Here is a 19388-nt window from a genome sequence, read left to right as displayed (position 1 = left end):
TAATCCAGGATGATCTCATCTCAAGATCCTTAACTTAATGACCTCTGCAAAGACCCTTCTGCCAAATAAGGTCACATTCACAAGTTCTGGGGAGGAGGACATAGACATGTCTTTTGAGGGGGCATGCTTTGACCACCTACCTCCCCTACTTCCACATGCCAGGTGGCCTGCTGGTGCTGTGGGCACTGCTTTTAATGAGTTTTCAGTCCTGTGGGAACAAGAGAGCTGAAAGCTGGCTGGGCAAGAGCAGGAGGAAGTGACCACAGCTCACAGCACAGGCGCTTTGCCATGCCTTCTGAGGAGCCCAGGATGGCAGTTTAAGCATGGACTCTAAAGTCGGACTGCTTTGACCACATACTGGCTCTGAGACCTCAGGAAATCATTTAACTGTCTCAATTTACACATCTGTTAAATGGGAATAATAATAACGTTCCATATCCACTTTACAGGGTTCTAATATTTCTGATTTTTAAAATTGTATTCACCTAGAAGACATAACATAGTGCCTGGTACCTAACAAGAGCCATATGGTTTTTCAATAGATTTTTTAAATAAAATAAGAAATGGACAAACAGAATCAAACAAAATTGTCCTCAAAGACATATTACATGTTCTGTGTGTTCTTTTACCTTTCAACAAAATATTTTATAGAAGGAAAGAAACTAACACAAATGGGGTCAGGTAGGAAAAACTACTTCTACTTTGTTGAAATAGAGGCACCTGTTATAATCATTCAACTGTCTCCCTTCTTTTCTTAAACTTGAATAAGAATCCTTCAGCACAATGAAAAATTTAGGCCAGTTCATGTTTCACAAATCCATACGATGGCACTTGATATGGTAACTGTCTTATGTCAACATTGTTTTTTGTTTGATGGCCAAATGTTAAGTTTCATAAAAAACAATGAATTAGCTCAGTTAATTAAAAGGATGACCTTTCCCTCTGCTCAAATGGTTATAATATTTTTCTAGACTACAGTAGGCAATGAAAAACTCCTGAAAGATTGGATTTTCCAGATTTTCCAATATGGTAGCTGATATGGTTTGGCTGTGTCCTCACCCAGATCTCATATTGAATTATAGCTCCCATAATTCCCATGTGTTGTGAGAGGGACCCAGTGGGAGGTAACTGACTCATGGAGGTGGGTCTTTCCTGTGCTGTTCTCATGACAGTGAATAAGTCTCATGAGATCTGATGGTTTTATAGAGGGGAGTTCCCCCACACAACCTCTTTTGCCTGCCACCATGTAAGATGTGACTTTGCTCCTCATTCACCTTCAGCCATGATTGTGAGGTCTCCCCAGCCATGTGGAACTGTAAGTCAATTAGACCTCTTTCCTTTATAAATTACCCAGTCTTAGGTATGTCTTTATTAGCAGCATGAGAAGAGACTAATACAGTAAGTTGGTACAGGTAGAGTGGGGTGCTATTATAAAGATACCCAAAAATATGGAAGCAACTTTGCAACTGGGTAACAGGCAGAGGTTGGAACAGTTTGGATGACTTAGAAGAGGACAGGAAGATGTGGGAAAGTTTGGAACTTCCTAAAGATTTGTTGAATGGCTTTGACCAAAATACTGACAGTGATAGGGACAATGAAGTCCAAGTTAAGGTGGTCTCAGATGGAGATGAGGAACTTGTTGGGAACTGGAATAAAGGTGACTCTTGCTATGTTTTAGCAAAGAGACTGGTGGCATTTTGCCCCTGCCCTAGAGATTTGTGGAACTTTGAATCTGAGAGAGATTATTTAGGGTATCTGGCAGAAGAAATTTCTAAGCAGCAAAGCATTCAAGAGGTGACTTGGATGCTGTTAAAAGCATTCAGTTTTATGTATTCACAAAGACATGGTTTGGAATTGGAACTTATGTTTAAAAGGGAAGCTGAACAGAAAAGTTCAGAAAATTTGCAGCCTGATGATGTGATAGAAAAGAAAAACCCATTTTCTGAGGAGAAAATCAAGCTGGCTGCAGAAACTTGCATATGTAATGAGGAGTCAAATGTTAATCACCAAGACAATGGAGAAAATGTCTCCAGGGCATGTCACAGACCTTCCTGGCAGTCGCTCCCATCAGAGGCCCAGAAGCCCAGGGAAAAAATGGTTTCTTTAGTGGGCCTGGCCCAGGATCCCCCTGCTCTGTGCAGCCTAGGGACTTGGTACGCTGTGTCCCAGCCACTCTAGCCATGACTAAACGGGGCCAAAGTAAAGGTCGGATCATGGCTTCAGAGGGTGCCAGCCCCAAGCCTTAGCAGCTTACATGTGGTGTTGGGCCTGAAGGTGCACAGAAGTTAAGAATTGAGGTCTGTGAACCTCTGCCTAGATTTTAGAGGATGTATGGAAATGCCTGGATGCCCAGGCAGAGGTGTGCTGCAGGGGCAGAGCCCTAATGGAGAACCTCTGCTAGGGCAGTACAGAAGGGAAATGTGGGATGGAAGCCCCCACACAGAGTCCCCACTGAGGTGCTGCCTAGTGAAGCTGTGAGAAGAGGGCTACTGTCCTCCTGACCCCAGAATGTTAGATCCACTGACGGCTTGCACTGTGTGCCTGGAAAAGCTGCAGACACTCAGCACCAGCCCATGAAAGTAGCCAGGAAGGGGGCTGGTGTACCCTGCAAAGCCACAGAGGCAGAGTTGCCCAAGACCATGGGAACCTACCTTTTGCATCAGTGTGACCTGGACGTGAGACACGGAGTCAAAGGAGATCATTTTAGAGCTTTGAGTGCCCCACTGGATTTCAGACTTCCATGGGGCCTGTAGTCCCTTCATTTTATCCAATTTCTCCCATTTGGAATGGCTGTATTTACCACATGCCTATACCCTCATTGTATCTAGGAAGTAACTAACTTGCTTTTGATTTTACAGGCTCACAGGCAGAAGGGGCTTGCCTTGTCTCAGATAGGACTTTGAACTGTGGACTTTTGAGTTAATGCTGAAGTGAGTTAAGACTTTGGGGGATTGTTGGGGAGGCATGACTGGTTTTGAAATGTGAGGACACGAGATTTGGGAAGGGCCAGGGATGGAATGATATGGTTTGGCTGTGTCCCCGCCCAAATCTCATCTTAAATTGTAGCTCCCATATTTTCCACATGTGGAAGGGACCCGGTGGGAGGTAAATGAATCATGGGGGTGGGTCTTTCTCATGCTATTCTTGTGATAGTGAAGAAGTCTCATGAGAACTGATGGTTTTATAAAAGGGAGTTCCCCTACACAAGCTCTCTTACTTGCCACCATGTAAGATGTGACTTTGCTCCTTATTCGCCTTCAGCCATGATTGTGAGGCCTCCCCAGCCATGTGGAACTGTGAGTCAATGAAACCTCTTTCCTCCATAAATTATCCGGTCTTGGGTATGTCTTAATTAGCAGTGTGAGAACAGACTAATACAGTACCCTTCACAGTGAACAGCTGGATTGGATCTTGACTTCACCTTGAGTTGGGTTACAGCAACGTGGGTGTGCCTGTTTTTTTGAAGAAGTCTATTTTAGGGCTTTTGCTTGCCTATCCTCTGAGCTTTTCTCTGCCTCTATTCAAATTTTTAGATAAGAATGGGCTCTGTATTGTGGTTTCTGTCCACATAAAAAGTTGCGGTTTATTTTCTCTGAGGTTTGGGTCCCAACAGCCAGACAAGAATCATTCAAAGAACAACCTCATCTCAACCTACCTAGCTGCACGTGGCTTCCATGCAAATAGTCCATCATCTAGCTTTCGGTTCCCTTGGTTCAGTGTTATCTGTTCTGAACACTTTCAAATTTGCTTATTTTTCTAATCTCCTTCTCCTCTTTTGGCAACACCACTCTTTATCTTGTGGTTTTCATCTTTATTACTCACATTTCCTCACAAAGAGTGTTCATTAAAATATTTTAAATTAAGATTTTTACTGCCTTTCTAACTGAGCATGTCGGGTCTTCCCATACAACACATTTTTAATTCTTATCACAGAATTTCAGGCAGTTTGTACATAATATGCTATCAAAAACTCTATTCCACTCAAGGTTGTCACAATTCAGAGATTACAGCATTTTGCAGGGTGTTTTGTTGGGGATATATTCATATATTCACTTTGTTAGCTGGCAAGCACGGTCCACGAGCCTGTACTTCACACCTCATTTGATATTACAATTCAACAAAAAAAGGGATAAAAAGAAGCAATTATTTATTTAGATGATGGAATGGATTTTGCGAGATTAGGTAAGCATAAATTGTCATGCCAAAGTGACAATCCCTGCCCTTCTTAGGGCCCAAGGGAGGTCAGATACTAAATGTGAAGTAAGAGAAGGAGAAAGAGGACACTTTTTCTCCTTTATGAGACAATGTGAGAGTGTCTCATAATTATGTAACTCTGCTTATATAACTACTTTACTTTTTTCCCCTGTAACCTTTTTTTTTATCTTTTCTAAAGAGAATGCAAAACTGATTCTCACAGAACCAAAAAGTGATAGCCGTGGCCCAGGTTGCTCTTCAATTTAAAACATTACCACTTGGTCAGTCAAATATATCAACAAAATTAATTTCCTAAGCATAGACCATGGATATCACCATTCTGTACCCAGACAGTGATTTCTGAGGGCAAGGGGCCAGAAAATCCCATTTGGACTCCTGTAGCACAACAGCAGGAGGCATGAGACTAAGGTAACTGGGGTGGCGCCCACTCCATCTCCTGTCCCCATCAGCATCTGCTGCCCACCAACAATCCCTCCCCCACTCTCTGCCCAAGCTCTTCCATTAGCGCTGGTCAAAACCCCTGGTTCAGGGCTGGCTACAGTGATTGGTTCAGGGTGGGTGCACAATCTAAGTTATGCCAAACAGAGCCAGTGGTGACCAGCACTGGGACGTGTGCCTGGCCTATCTGGGGACAGCAGCTTTCTCCCTGAAGTGACCAAGTTAGCAGATGTTTGCTGGGAGCTGCTAGCAGTCATCTTGCCTCCAGGAGGGAAGGGCCTGTCTGAGAAAAAGCTAAACCAGGGAGACAGGTTGCTAAGGTTACTGGTTGAGCACCTGACCCTACATTCCTGGTACCACGCCACCCCCAAACTTCTCTACCTGCAGGGACACAAACCCACCTGATAAGCTCAGCAACCAAGAGTGAGTCTGCCACTGGGAATACAAACACACAGGGCCCCCAGGCGAAGTAGAGAATCAAGCTACAACCTTTGACAGAAACCAGCTTCAAAGAGTGTGGCAAACACTGTGAGCTGACCACCCAGTAGGCACCCATTCTCCCATCCTCATTCCCTGGCAACAGAGACCATTTCCCACTACAAAGCCCGGAAATAATACCAGAGACTCATTTTCCAAGGGTACCCTGCCTCTCGGGCAAAAGCATGAAACCCACTGCGTATTGATAAGATCTAAAGGGAAGACTTCCATGGATATTGTTGGAAAGGTTTTCCTCCCTGGTAAAAAGGGACACATGAGGAGAGACCCCCCGCCTCCCCCTTCCAGTCTTTGGATATCGTTGGGTGAGTCTATGATGCCTGGAAGAGCTGCAGACATCTTGTGACCATGAGGAACCCAAGCTGGAGAGTGACAATCAGGGCACTGGGTATACTGGAGTGGGAAGACAGAAAACACCCAGGAGACACCGTTGTGCTGCTGGATTCACCATCCATGGCACCATCTACCTCTCAATTTCTTTTATGTGAGATGACAAAACCCTGCTGCAGCAGCCACTTTGAGGTAAATATTCTATTACTTGCAACTGAAAGCACCTAAGCAATGTAAAAATCCAAGGCTCCCTAGAAACTAACAACTCAGAATTTAGGAGTGTCTAGCAGGCAGACACAAATCTGCAGGGAAACCATGGGTCAAGCAGGGTTGTGGGCTGAAAACTCTGTCGATAGATGTAGAGAATGATGACTGGAACGTAGAGTTTAGAGTAAGAGGCATCCAGATTACTTAGTTAGTGATTCCTAATGGAATGCTTTGGACCACGCTGTCTGAGTCACTTCTCACCCTCTGAAAGAGATCTTCAAAAGCAGGCAGAAGAGAGTTCTAGCTGGGGTTGGCTGGGGTCACCCAAGAAGAGACAGCGCTTGCCAGCAACTCACTGGAAAAGACCCTCCATTTCTCATGCTCCCCTCCACCCAGGCCTTCATTCATTCACAGAAGGCCTCCGCCATTCCTAATGCTGCAGGCCTTGAAGAGTTTAGGGAAGAAAGAGAACTGGTTGTGACAATATATGGTGATAAGCAACAAACTCGGAAGGGGCTCGTGTGCTCAGCTGAGGAGTCCGAGCCCCCTCCTGGGAGAAATAGGAGCCAGAGGTTTTAAAGCAGGAGGCCACATGTCCAGCAAAGCTTGTTAGCCCTCCCAGTGAAGCAATCTCATAGAAGACTGGTGTTTAATGAAACAAGAAGAAAACAGAGGCAATGAGACTGTGTAGGGAAGGCGGCTGCAACACAGGTGAGAGTTCTTTCTACCTGCCAGATGTCCTGATGTGAGGTGACACGTGATCACCTCTCTCTGGGTCCCAGGTGAGTTCAGCCTTGTAAAGCCCAAGGCTGGTGTCTGAACGAGAGAAGACAGGCCGCCTTCCAGCAATGCCAAGTTCATTCAAATTAAGATTCTGAGGCCATGTGCCAATTCCCAAGTGTGATATCAGCAAAATAACTATATTTAAGCACTAAGGGACGAATGTCCAATAGCTAAAGCTACCCTCGGTTTGCTCATTACTAAGTATATTTTCCCCTTGCCTCTTAAATCATTTTTATTTCCCCCATTTCCTTCTTCAACTCTTCGCTGCAAACAATAACAATAGTAATAATAAAGATAAAAATTTAAAACGCGGTTACCAAACCCGACGCTGTGATAAATGTGAACTCTGGTGATTTTTGAGACTGCCGACCTCAAAAATCATTTCTCATTAAACGCAGAGGCATCGCTTTATCCACACGCACATTATTTTGCTATCAGCTCTGGCAGCCACTCCCCTCCTCCCCACTGCGGAGGTGCCTTGGGGATCTCCATGCTTACCTGCTCTGCGTGTCCGGGCGATGGCCCATGCAGGTGAGGGTGGCCGACGTCTGAGTGCTGCCATTATCAATTTCCTCCTGGACTGCCCATTGGTCCTCACTGCTGACTCTCACTGCCGTTATCTTCACACCTGCTGCCGCCTTAATTCTGTGGGGTGGGAAAACAATGATATTATATATAATAAAACCATTTTAGTTTGAAACAGGTAGTAAAAGATGGCACGAGAGCAGATCACTGGGAAAGCATCTGTAACATCGCCCCCTTCCTCTGGGAGATGTGGGGGAGAGTGGTGGCAAGTGGCTTTCCTTTAAAAACTAAGTGTCTTGTAATTTTTACAAGTGCCTGGAAGTAGGAGCCCCAGCTTTTGCCATGTGCATTAATTTTCTGTTTAATCAGTGTGCTGGGAACCAGATCACTTGCTGCTCCAGGGATCCCAGCATGATGCAAATGAGACAGATGCCTCGGGCCAGAAGAGATGGATCTGCAAGGCCTATTCTTCACCTGGAGATGGAGAAGAGTCTTTAAGATGCGGGGTGGGTTGTGCAAGGCCAGAAGATCACACAGCCCAGGGGATGGAAGAGGAGGCCATTGCACTGGGCACTCTGGGAGCAGGAATGGACGGGAGCACCCAGTCCTCAGGTGTTTGAAGAACAAATGTGGCATTCAGGCAGGATAACGGGGCCAGATGCTGCCTGGTACAATGTTCACAGAACACGGTTCCACCAGGAAGAATCAAGGACCCAGGTGTGTTGCCATTGAGAAAAGGCCAAGGAGAGTTCACAGTCTGGGTTTCTTTCTTTTCGTACACTGCTCCTGAAATGATCCTCACGTTGCTACTAACCAGAAAACATCTCCTCTATAACAGTGGGGAGTCCACGGACAACATCCATGTTCTCCCAGGGCGACCTGGGGACTTGGCCCAATGCTGTGTATGCATCTGGAGGGTCACCAGGATGAAGGCAGGCCGTGGGGTGCCCACTGCTTACTATGTCTTAACTGAACATAGGTATCACCACAAGGGCCCGCTGGGACTTCTGGGGATGTAAACTAATGCTGCGAACTAATGCTGCAGAGGTCAGTGCAGGCTGGGCTGGGAAGGTGACCAGCTCCTCTCTGCTTCCCAGAAGCCTGTGGACCCACAAGAAAGGCCCAGTGAGGCCCTGGGCACCCTCTCCCATGAACAAAAAAGGGATATCAAAGGCAGCCAAATATTATGTGGAGGAGTTAGAGGATGTCAGCAAAGACAGGTGCATTATGCCAGACATCCCAGCACCACCAAGAAAAGATTGATGGGAAGCAAAGATTACCTCCAAGATTAATTAATCAAATCCACACATAGCAGCAGGTCTAGGACACTATTTAAAAACAAGTGAATGAAAACAAAAAGACAACCTACAGAATGGGAGAAAATATATGCAAATTGTCTATCTGATAAGGGCCTAGCATTCAGCGTATATAAAGTATTCCTACAAAATCAACAACAAAAGCAAATAACATAATTAAAAACTCAGCAAAGGTCTTGACTAGACATTTCTCCAGAGTTATATAAGTGGCCAATAAACACATGAAAATACCCTCAACAACATCATTAGTCATCAGGGAAATGCAAATCCAAACCACAATGACATACCACTTAATACCCACTGGGATGGCTAAAATAAAAAAGACAGATACTAAGTGCTGGTGAGGATGTAGAGAAATTGGAACCCTCATACACTGCTCTGGGGAACGTAAAGTGGTACAACCACTGTGCAAAACAGTTTTCCAGTTTCTCCAAAAGTTAAACAGAATTACCATATGGTCTAGCAATTCCACTCCTAGGTATATACCTAAATGAATTGAAAACAGGCACTCAAACAAATACTTGTACACTCATGTTCACAGCAGCACTGTGGGCAATACGTAAAAGACTGAAAGAACTCAAATGCCCATCTATGATGGAGGGATAAATAAAATGTGGTCTATCCATATGACGGAATATTATTCAGCCATAAAAAGGGATGAAGTTCTGACACATGCTACGTGATGAACCTCGATAACGTGATGCTGAGTGAAAGAAGCCAGACACAAAAGGCCACATAGTATACGACTGCATTCAGATGAAACATTCAGAAGGTAAATCCATAGAGACAGAAAGTAGACTGGTGGTTTCCAGGGACTGGGGAAGAGTGAGGATGGGGGAAATGGGGAGTAGCTGCCTAGCTAACGGGTACCCAGTTTCCTTTTGGGATGACGACAGTGTTTTGGAAGTAAACAAAGATGGTGGTCCAACGGCACTGTGAATGTACTAATTGCCAGTGAAATGGCTAATTTTATGTGATGTAAATTTTACCTCAGTACAAAAAAGAAGATGGGGGAAAAAAAAACCACAGGTGAAAAATGACCCCTCCCAGGAGTGACTGAAACTTTAAAAAAATAGAATGTATCAAAATCAAACCAAAACACCTATAAGACCCAAGGAAGGCAGCCTCTCATGGTAGAGTTCAAGCAGGAGAGAGATTCTCGAACTGGAGGAAAGCCCCAACTTTACCACCCACCGTAAGGAACCTTAAGGGTAGAATTAGGAGATTCAAATGTCTGCATATCTCATTAAAGAAAATGAAATGTTTCTGCCTCCCTTTCTCCCCTTCCTGTAGGTCTTTACACAGACTCCAAGACATCCTTCTGCTTGCTCTTGCACGCCCCAAAAAGTCACTGCAATGCCCGCAATTCCCGGAGACTCAGATGCCATGCCTTGCCTTGACTTGATCATTCTTCCGCTGAATTCTGGGGTCCAAATCTGCTACTTTCACAAAGCTTTCTTTCTTGCCGTCATGATGTTCCAGGAATTAATTTATGCAAACCACAAATAGAGGCATCCTGTTCTGTCCCTGCCCCCAGCCATCCCATCTTGTTGCCAAAGGGGCAAACTGCAGAGAATGTTCCAGAGCCATATCTAGAGAAACAGGGTCCCTTCCGCTGTCCACACACCGCCTCCTTCCTATCGGTACTTGCTACCATAATAGCTTTTCTCACTCTCCCACAGAGTTCTTTCACCAAGCAGCCGTGTGGCCAGGCCTGTCACCGTTGTTCTCAACATCCAGATGAACAAATCAGACCCTCCCACCCGATAGCGCACGACCGGCTGAAGGTCACACAGCTGGTTCTGGCAGAGCCAGGATTCGAAACCAGATCCCCTCACTCCAAACCCCACTCCTTTCCCTCCTGCACTGGCCCATTAACAGAGGATTTCTTTTATGACACACATTGCATCATTTATTGCCTGACAAATGCCTCAGTAGTTAAGTCTGGGGACAATAATGTCTCACACTTTAGCTCCTTAATTGAGCCCTCATTGCCAGGCCCCTCTCCCTTCAGTCTTAGAGATACAACACGTACCCACGGAGGGTTCTTCTGTGAGATTTTTGTTCCTTCTTTTATTCTGACCCAAAACTAAGACACAGGTCCCCTCGTCCTCAGGGGCTTCCTCATTCATCAGCTCTGAATTGATTCATGGGACTCCGTGCACGATGCTTCTTCCACTGGGGCTTCTAGCCTCTGGTTTATCCCGACAGAGACTCTCACAGTGGGCAAACGCTTCCTCAGAGTCTGAGAAGCAGAGGGTCCAGTGCGGGGAGACAGTCCAAATCTTCCATAGAGCATTTCCTAGCACGGGGGGTGCCGTGGCAGGGGCTGAGGAAACACAGTGCTTGCTGGTCCTAAACAGGTCCAGGGGACCCAAGGAAGGCAGGGAGGCAGGACTTGAGACAAGTTGACCATTAGCCAACAAATGTCAACATTTTGAAATATTTTGTCAACCAGCACAGCCTTCCCAGCACCTGCAGGCTGCACATCAGGACCATCGGACTGCTTCCCCTTAGTGAAGTTATTACATTTGAAGACAAGCAGAGGAAAGACCAAGGTGGCCCCTCCGGGTTGCCGTCTGGGTGGGATGATCGGCCCCATGACACCACAAACGCATTTCTAGCTAATTGCTGCTAAGCTCTCAAGACAGCAACCAACCCTTTACCTTCCCCCGGTCAACTGGAGCCCAGATGACAGCCCATCCTAGCAGCCATCCATTTACTTTCCTTCCCAGAGGCAGGGAACCCCTCACACGTACCCTAGAGGTTTGGCCAACTGGGCATCTCCGGTTTTTATTTTTGTTTGTTTGTTTTTATTATTATTATACTTTAAGTTCTGGGGTACATGTGCTGAACGTGCAGGTTTGTTACATAGGTATACCCATGCCATGGTGGTTTGCTGCACCCATCAACCTGTCATCTACATTAGGTATTTCTCCTAATGCTCTCCCTCCCCTAGGCCCCCCCCCACCCTCTGACAGGCCCCAGTGTGTGATGTTCCCCTCCCTATGCCCATGTATTCACATTGTTCATCTCCCACTTACGAGTGAGAACACGCGGTGTTTGGTTTTCTGTTCTTGTGTGGGCATCTCTACTTTGTCCCCTGTCTCAGTTTCACTCCCTGACCACTCCACTCCACTCCACTCCTCCACTCACTCCACTCCACTCCACTCCACTCCTCCACTCCACTCACTCCACTCCACTCACTCCACTCCACTCCACTCCACTCACTCCACTCCACTCCTCCACTCCACTCCACTCACTCCACTCACTCCACTCCACTCCACTCCACTCCACTCACTCCACTCCACTCACTCCACTCCACTCACTCCACTCCACTCCACTCACTCCACTCCACTCACTCCACTCCACTCCACTCCACTCCACTCCTCCACTCCACTCACTCCACTCCACTCCACTCACTCCACTCCACTCACTCACTCCACTCCACTCCACTCACTCCACTCCACTCCACTCCTCCACTCCACTCCACTCCACTCACTCCACTCCACTCCACTCACTCCACTCCACTCACTCCACTCCACTCCACTCACTCCACTCCACTCACTCCTCCACTCCACTCACTCCACTCCACTCCACTCCACTCACTCACTCCACTCCACTCCACTCCACTCCACTCCACTCACTCCACTCCACTCCTCCACTCCACTCCACTCACTCCACTCCACTCCACTCACTCCACTCCACTCCACTCACTCCACTCCACTCACTCCACTCCACTCACTCCACTCCACTCCACTCCTCCACTCCACTCCACTCCACTCACTCCACTCCACTCCTCCACTCCACTCCACTCCACTCACTCCACTCCACTCCACTCCTCCACTCCACTCACTCCACTCACTCCACTCCACTCCACTCCACTCCACTCACTCCACTCCTCCACTCCACTCCACTCACTCCACTCCACTCACTCCACTCCACTCCACTCACTCCACTCCACTCCACTCCACTCACTCCACTCCACTCCACTCACTCCACTCCACTCCACTCCACTCACTCCACTCCACTCCACTCCACTCACTCCACTCCACTCCTCCACTCCACTCCACTCCACTCACTCCACTCCACTCCACTCCTCCACTCCACTCCACTCCACTCCTCCACTCCACTCCACTCCACTCCTCCACTCCACTCCACTCCTCCACTCCACTCCACTCCTCCACTCCACTCCACTCCACTCCTCCACTCCACTCCACTCCTCCACTCCACTCCACTCCACTCCACTCCACTCCTCCACTCCACTCACTCCACTCCACTCCACTCACTCCACTCCACTCCACTCCTCCACTCCACTCCACTCCTCCACTCCACTCCACTCCACTCCTCCACTCCACTCCACTCCACTCCTCCACTCCACTCCACTCCACTCCTCCACTCCACTCCACTCACTCACTCCACTCCACTCCACTCCACTCACTCCACTCCACTCCACTCACTCCACTCCACTCCACTCCTCCACTCCACTCCTCCACTCCACTCCACTCCACTCCTCCACTCCACTCCACTCCACTCCTCCACTCCACTCCACTCCTCCACTCCACTCACTCACTCCACTCCACTCACTCCACTCCACTCCACTCCACTCACTCCACTCCACTCACTCCACTCCACTCCACTCCTCCACTCCACTCCACTCCACTCCACTCACTCCACTCCACTCCACTCCACTCCTCCACTCCACTCCACTCCTCCACTCCACTCCACTCCACTCCTCCACTCCACTCCACTCCACTCCACTCACTCCACTCCACTGTCCACAGCCAAGCACCCCACTTGGCACTGAGGCTTGGGACACAATTATTTTTCTCGCTCGCCTCAGTCTTCCCACCCCTCTTAGGAGTGTTGCCCCCCCTCAATCAGCTCCTGTGCACACCACAAGCACTGCCGCCGGATGCCTCCTCACGGGACAGGGCTCCTCGGGTTCCAGTAGCCTCCAGGATCACAGTGAAGCCACACCCAAGAGGGTCCCTTGCTGCATTTGCAATTTGGAAAATAAGGGGATCCATAAATTCCAGTGTGGTTGATTTCCAGGACACGAGGAAGTCTCCAGAAACCAGATGCCTATCTCAGTCCCTCTTCCCTTGTGGCTGGCTCAGCAGGCATTCTAGGGCCCAGCAACTCTCCAAAGAGTGGACTTTCAAGCTGCAAAAGTGCCCTCAAAACTGCAGTAAAGGCAGCAGGCTTCTACACAAACTGAGGAGAGTACCTGTGAGCACATAAGTCCCAAAGTAATTCTCTCCATAACAGTTGAAGCCAAGACAGGGTTGATGCACTCCAGGACTGTCTTTGTCTTGACTTTTCAATTATTATTATTATTAGTTATCATTATCACTATTATTATTAACAATCCACTCTGGTGTATCCCCTTGTGCAGTACAAAAGTCAAAACACTTACTCAGCAGAATGGCTAAACTGAAAAGAGAGAAAAAAGCAAATGGTGGCCTGGTCATGGAGTGACTGGGACTCGTGAACATTGCTGGAATGAGTGTAATTTGGTTCAACCTCTTTGGAAAGCTATTTGGTGATAACTACAAAGCCTGAATTTCCGTAGACCCTGTAACAGCATTGCCACTCCTCGGTTTATGCCCAACAGAAACACATGCACCTGTTCCCCAAGACACACATACAAGAAGGTGCACGACAGCCCTGCCATCAGCCCAAAATGGAAACAACCCAAAATGCTCATTGCCTTAATCTGTTCGGGACAGTCTAACAAAATACCACAAACTTGGAGGCTTATAAACAACAGAAATTTATTTCTCACAGTTCTGGAGGCTGAAGTCCAAGAGCAAGATGTCAGCAGTTTCAGTGCCGGGTGAGAGCTTGCTTTTTTATAGATGCGGCTGTCATGCTGTGTCCTCGCATGGTGGAAGGGGTGACAGAGCACCCTCAAACCTCTTTTATAAGGGCATTAATCCCATTCCTTTAGGGAGATGACCTAATCTCCCAAAAGGCCCCACCTCCTAATAACTCTGCCTTGGGGATAAGAATTTCAACATGCGAATTTGTGGGGGATACAGACGTTCAGACCCTAGCACCCATTGACAACGGAACTGGTAAAGCGTAACATCTCACAGTGGAACACTATACAGCAGTAACGAGGAAGCAGCCTATCACCACACAACAACACAGCGACCCTCCAAATACACAGCTGAGTGGAAGAAGCCAGGTACCAAAAGCGCGCACTGTGCAATTCCGTTCGTGGAAAGTCAGAAGCAGGCACACAGATCTCCGAGGTGAAAGCCTGCACAGTGGCCGCCCTGTGGTAGAGGCAGTCACTGAGTGGAGTCCTGCTGGGCTTCTGGGGACCCTGCCATGCTCTGTCTCTCCTTCTGCATGCCGATTACTTGGTGGTTGTGAGAACTCATCAGTCTGTGCTCGCTTATGTGGACTCTTCTGCATGTAGGTTACAGTTCAATATGAAGTTCAAAACAGAGCAAGTGCATTGTAACAGGGACGTAAGTCAGAGCCAGGAGGACATGGTGGCTCCACCACTGCCCACGTTCACTGGTAGGTCTCCAGGTGAACCCAAATGTCACCACCCCAGACACACAGAGGCGTTTCTCCCCCAGACCTCCACCAGGTGTCCGCGGTCCCTTTGGTTCTGAGCGACAAGAGTGACCTGAGCTTTGGCCTTGTCTGTGATGGAGGACTGGATGCTGGAAAGAGTCTGAGTCCAGATGAGCATCCCTCCTGGTTGGACCAGGGAGAGAGACATTCTAGCTGCTGTAGATAAGTCAAAAGAAAGACAACTGGACTCCAGGCCAGCCTCTACCCAGCAGGGACAGACAGACAGGGCACGGGGTCACACCTTCTCCATCTCACTCCCCATATGTCTTTCCCAGCCCATAGCATCCACCACCTAGCTGGGCAAAAGGAAACCTGCTCTGTGAGTACACACCTGCATCTTTCTGTCTTCTACTTAGACCAGCCACTTTTGAACTAAATACTCCACTCTACAGGGTTTTGGGTTTGTTTGGTTGTCTACATAGTGGGTGGGCAGTAAAGGATTAACTTTGCCCGAAGAGAGGTCTGGCCTTTGCCTTCACCTCCTGAGAACTAACTTTTAAGCCTTTGGAATTTCTTGCCTGATAAGAGTGTCTTTGTTTACCTGAGGTCTTGGGCCATGCCAGATAATCTGTGCTTCAATATGATTTATAGTAGGGAGGCTTGGGCCACATGGGATCTGCTTGACCACTGGAGGGACTGGAGAGTCAGCCATGTCTATGTGACCAAGTTCCAAAAAAAGCTCTGGACACCAAGCTTGGGTGAGCTCCCCCAGTTGGCAGCACTCTGTGCCTATGGTTGCACATCAGCTCTGGGAGAAGCAAATGCTGTCCATACGACTCCACTGGGAAAGGTCAACTGGGAGCTTGCCCTGGACCTCTACTGGATCCTACTCTATGCACCTCTTCCCTTGGCTGAACTCAGTTTGTATCCTTTCACTAGAATAAACAATATTTATAAGTACAACAGCGTTTCTGAGTTCTTTGAGTCCTTCTAGAAAATTACTGAACCTGAGGGTGGTCTTGGGGACCCTCCAGACTTGCAGATGGCATCAGAAGTGAGGGTGGTCTTGAGACCTTCCCAGCTTTCCAGTGGGTGGGTCAAGTCTTTCACTGTCTGCCATGGGCGGGGGTTGGAGAAGGAAGCGTGCAATTAGAACTCACGCCATCAAGACTGTGAAATATTTTTATACCCCATATCATCCACCCAGTCCTCCGACGTTTAAAGAGGATTTCTTGAGTTTCAGGTACTACACATGAAGCACTTGGAAATGCAAAGAGGAGCATGGCTCAGTCCAGACCAGTGAGTCTCAGATGGTTTTGGCCACAGACTGAGACTGTGGCTCACCTTTCCCCGGTACCCATTTCACAGTAGAAAAAGAACTTGTTCACAAATGCTGAAATGTCTCAAGCCCCTTCTAGAAGCCAGGCACTGTCCTCCGCCTTGCACTGCTAATACACAGATGCCTCGTGCAACCCCGCAGGGGTAGTATCGCTTCTGCTTCCATTTTCCACATGAGGAAACTTGATGAGCATCACTAGACAGGCAAATTGTGTGGGTATGACCAGGGAAGGGAAGTTTTGCATTCTGCTTTAGCCAGAGGAGATAAAGAAGATTCCTGTTTGGACAGTAAAAGGTACTCACAGTCTACTGGAAATTCACTAGCAAAAAGATCTAGTTAAGCATATCTACTAACGTTTGAGTTAACCAAACAGCCCACAGTGGAAGAACTTAGTTCTTCATTAGTTCAGGAAACTGAACTAATAAATATTCCAAAAAAAAGCAAGGAAAGCTACAACCTGAATTCACAACCATCTGAAGACAATACTACCAAATGCCTTGATGATAATAAACTGTCCTGTCCAAACTCTGATGGCTGCAAGATGCCAGCAGCCATGTGCATCCTAGCGCCACTCAGGAATATTTGTGGATTATAATAGCTGAGCTTTACTGAGGCCACTCCCCTGAGCCAGACACTTTCCCAAGGGCTTTGCATAAATTTTCTCGTGCTTTACCTGTATCAACATATTTAATCCTCTTTACAGCACTATGAGTAGGTCTCATTATCCTAGACTTACAAATGCGAAATCTGTGGCACCAAACAATTAAGGAACAGGCACAAAATCACAAGGTGGAGGCAGGATGGAGTGTAGGGGTCCTCATTTCTGAGCCTGCCCATCTGGCCACTATACCTGACTGGCACAGCACAGGTATTCACACCAGCCTGCCAGGTTCAGGTCCTGGCTTTGCCATTGACTCTTGGTGCAGTACAGACTCCTCCTCTCTCAAATGATGAAAAAATAAGTGTCTATAAGGGGTTGAATAGTGTCCCCCAGGGATTCATATCTACCCAGAACCTCACAATGTGACCTTATTGAGCCACAGGGTCTTCATTGATGTAATTACTTAGGTATCTCAAGATGAGACCATCCTGGATTTAGGGTGGGCTGTAAATCCAATGAGTGGTGTCTTTATAAGAGACAGACAGGGAACCTGAGAAGGCAGCGATGTGAAGTCAGAGAGAGAGAGAGCTGGAGTTATGCTTCTATGGGCCAAGGAATATGAAGGACTGCCAGCAACAACCAGAAGGTAGGGGAAAAGCATGAGAAGGTTTCTCAACCCTACGGACATCTTGATTTTGGGCTCTGGCCTCCTGGAACTGTGAGAGAATAAATTTCTGTTGTTTTACACTATCGCGTTTGTGGCCATTTGCTGTGGCAGCCCCAGGAAGCTAACACAGTGGCCATCTCGTGAGGCTGCTGCAAGGGTTAAGTGAGCTAATACAATATAAAGTGCTGGCACAGACGGAGTGCTACAGGTGTGTTTATTATTATTATGTTACGCTGTATCTGTGAATCAAAGAAGGGAGTGAGACAGTCTGTCTAGGGAAACAGTGGCTTACATATAAACAAAATAAACTGACAAAATAAAAATAAATAAATTCTGACATCTTTGCTTTGGAGTGAAACACTGGGCATTCCTCCCTCCCTAGCAGAGCTGGATACACCCAGGAATGAATGTCAGGAAGGTGATGGAGAGAGAAGGATTAGGAGCAAGACTCCCAGAATTTAATTCCAGCTGCAAGAAGGACTAGCTGTGAGGCCTTGGATAACCATTGAACTTCTGTGACTCAGTTTCCTTATCTGTAAAATGTGGATAATAACACTATCTACCTACAGTGTTGCTATTATGAAGATTAAGTGAATTGGTGTATATTAAGTGCTTAGAAGAACACCTGGAACAAAGACGTGGATCAGCATTAGCTATTATTAATTTCCTAACAATGAACTACCATACGGTCTCCAGAGATCAGACACACAAGCATCTAAGCCTCCTACCTTGTGAGATGTCCTTTGGAACTACCCTAAGTCTCCAGCCAGGATTCTAAACACTTCTTCTCCAGATATGATTTCCTGATCCTATTCCTCTTCCTTAGCAGAAAATTCCTCTAACATCCCTAGGCAAAGGCAAATGTCTCCGTTTGCCAGAGTAGATCCATTTATTTCATAAGGGGTGCTCTAGAGAACATCCAGCCCTCAATCCTTTGGGCCCAAAGGACATTGCTGTACACCTGACAAATTCTGGACATGTCATAGCAGTTGCAATTGATTTTTAAAAATCCAGTTCTGGTGCATGTCCATGAAAACGTCCAGAGATAGGGCCAAATTCAGATGCAACTCACTATAGACGTTCAAATGTTACCTCCAGTTCCATTAGGCACTGGACCCTGTTCAGCTCTCATGCATGTGGGCTTTGTTCACCAATTCTTCTCATGGTCACAGTGTTGCTGCAGCAGCTCCAGATCTCACATCCTCATCCACAACAAAAAAGCAAAATTCTTTCCCTTAGATCAAAGATCCCAGAGCCAGGTTTTCATTGGCCAAATTAAACTGAGTGCTCAATCTTGAGCCAATCATTATGGCATCTAGGGTAGAGGGACAATGCTCATGGGCTTAGCTGGTCAACTAAGCTGGTCACTAAGGGTGAAGTTAACCCCCTCCTAATCACGTGGGAGAGGTTAGCAAGGAGTGGCTCCTGAAAGGAAATTCAAGTTACAACAGAACAAATGAATGCTGGGTATCAAAAACACAAACCTAAAACCAAACTATTGACATTTTCCTCTCTCTTAAACACAAGTTATACAATTGTTTCTAAATCCCAGTCCTTAGTCCAAATCCTTCCTAATTTTAGATTATCTTTGTTAGAACAATTTAAGCCCAGGAACATCTATGTCTTGAATATTCATTAAGTTTGTTTTAGAGAAATATCTTTAGGCTTGGTGATATTCTTAGCACTTGTTATTTAAAAATTACAATATCTAAAACTACATGGAAAAGATAATGGTCTCACCACTGTAATGAGTTTGCGGAATTTGGGCTCTGAGCATAGAAAAATATATGACCACAAGGTGGCAGTAGCATACAACGAGTTTTATTTGGGCAACGCTTTGACAGGTTTGCATGAAAGAAGCCCCTCACAGCATGAGACAGTCCAAAGGATGTGGCCTGAGGGGCCACCAGCCAGAGGGGAGGAGGGAAAGAACTCTGA

General features: G+C 47.0%; 1 protein-coding gene across 10 annotated transcripts in view, besides 1 other annotated feature; it reads right to left on the bottom strand.

The window, feature by feature from the left end:
• Nucleotides 1-19388, bottom strand: part of TMEM132B (transmembrane protein 132B) — a 475992-nt gene that overhangs the window by 239734 nt on the left and 216870 nt on the right. For all 10 annotated transcript variants that reach the window (NM_001366854.1, XM_047428245.1, XM_047428243.1 and 7 more), the window contains one exon: nt 6967-7113. In NM_001366854.1, the coding sequence (NP_001353783.1) occupies nt 6967-7113 (147 nt within the window). The remainder of the gene's footprint in view (nt 1-6966; nt 7114-19388) is intronic.
• Nucleotides 13817-14005: a silencer, noted in NCBI's record as "fragment chr12:125893185-125893373 (GRCh37/hg19 assembly coordinates)". NCBI's record gives its function as "represses an EF-1alpha promoter that drives an FKBP-Casp9 reporter gene in an ReSE screen in phorbol 12-myristate 13-acetate-treated (for megakaryocytic differentiation) K562 erythroleukemia cells {active_cell/tissue: K562(+PMA)}" and the evidence as "EXISTENCE:reporter gene assay evidence [ECO:0000049][PMID:32094911]".

This window comes from Homo sapiens, chromosome 12 (assembly GCF_000001405.40).
Source record: "Homo sapiens chromosome 12, GRCh38.p14 Primary Assembly".
Lineage (NCBI taxonomy): Eukaryota > Metazoa > Chordata > Mammalia > Primates > Hominidae > Homo > Homo sapiens.
This window is presented reverse-complemented; position numbering and strand designations above follow the sequence as displayed.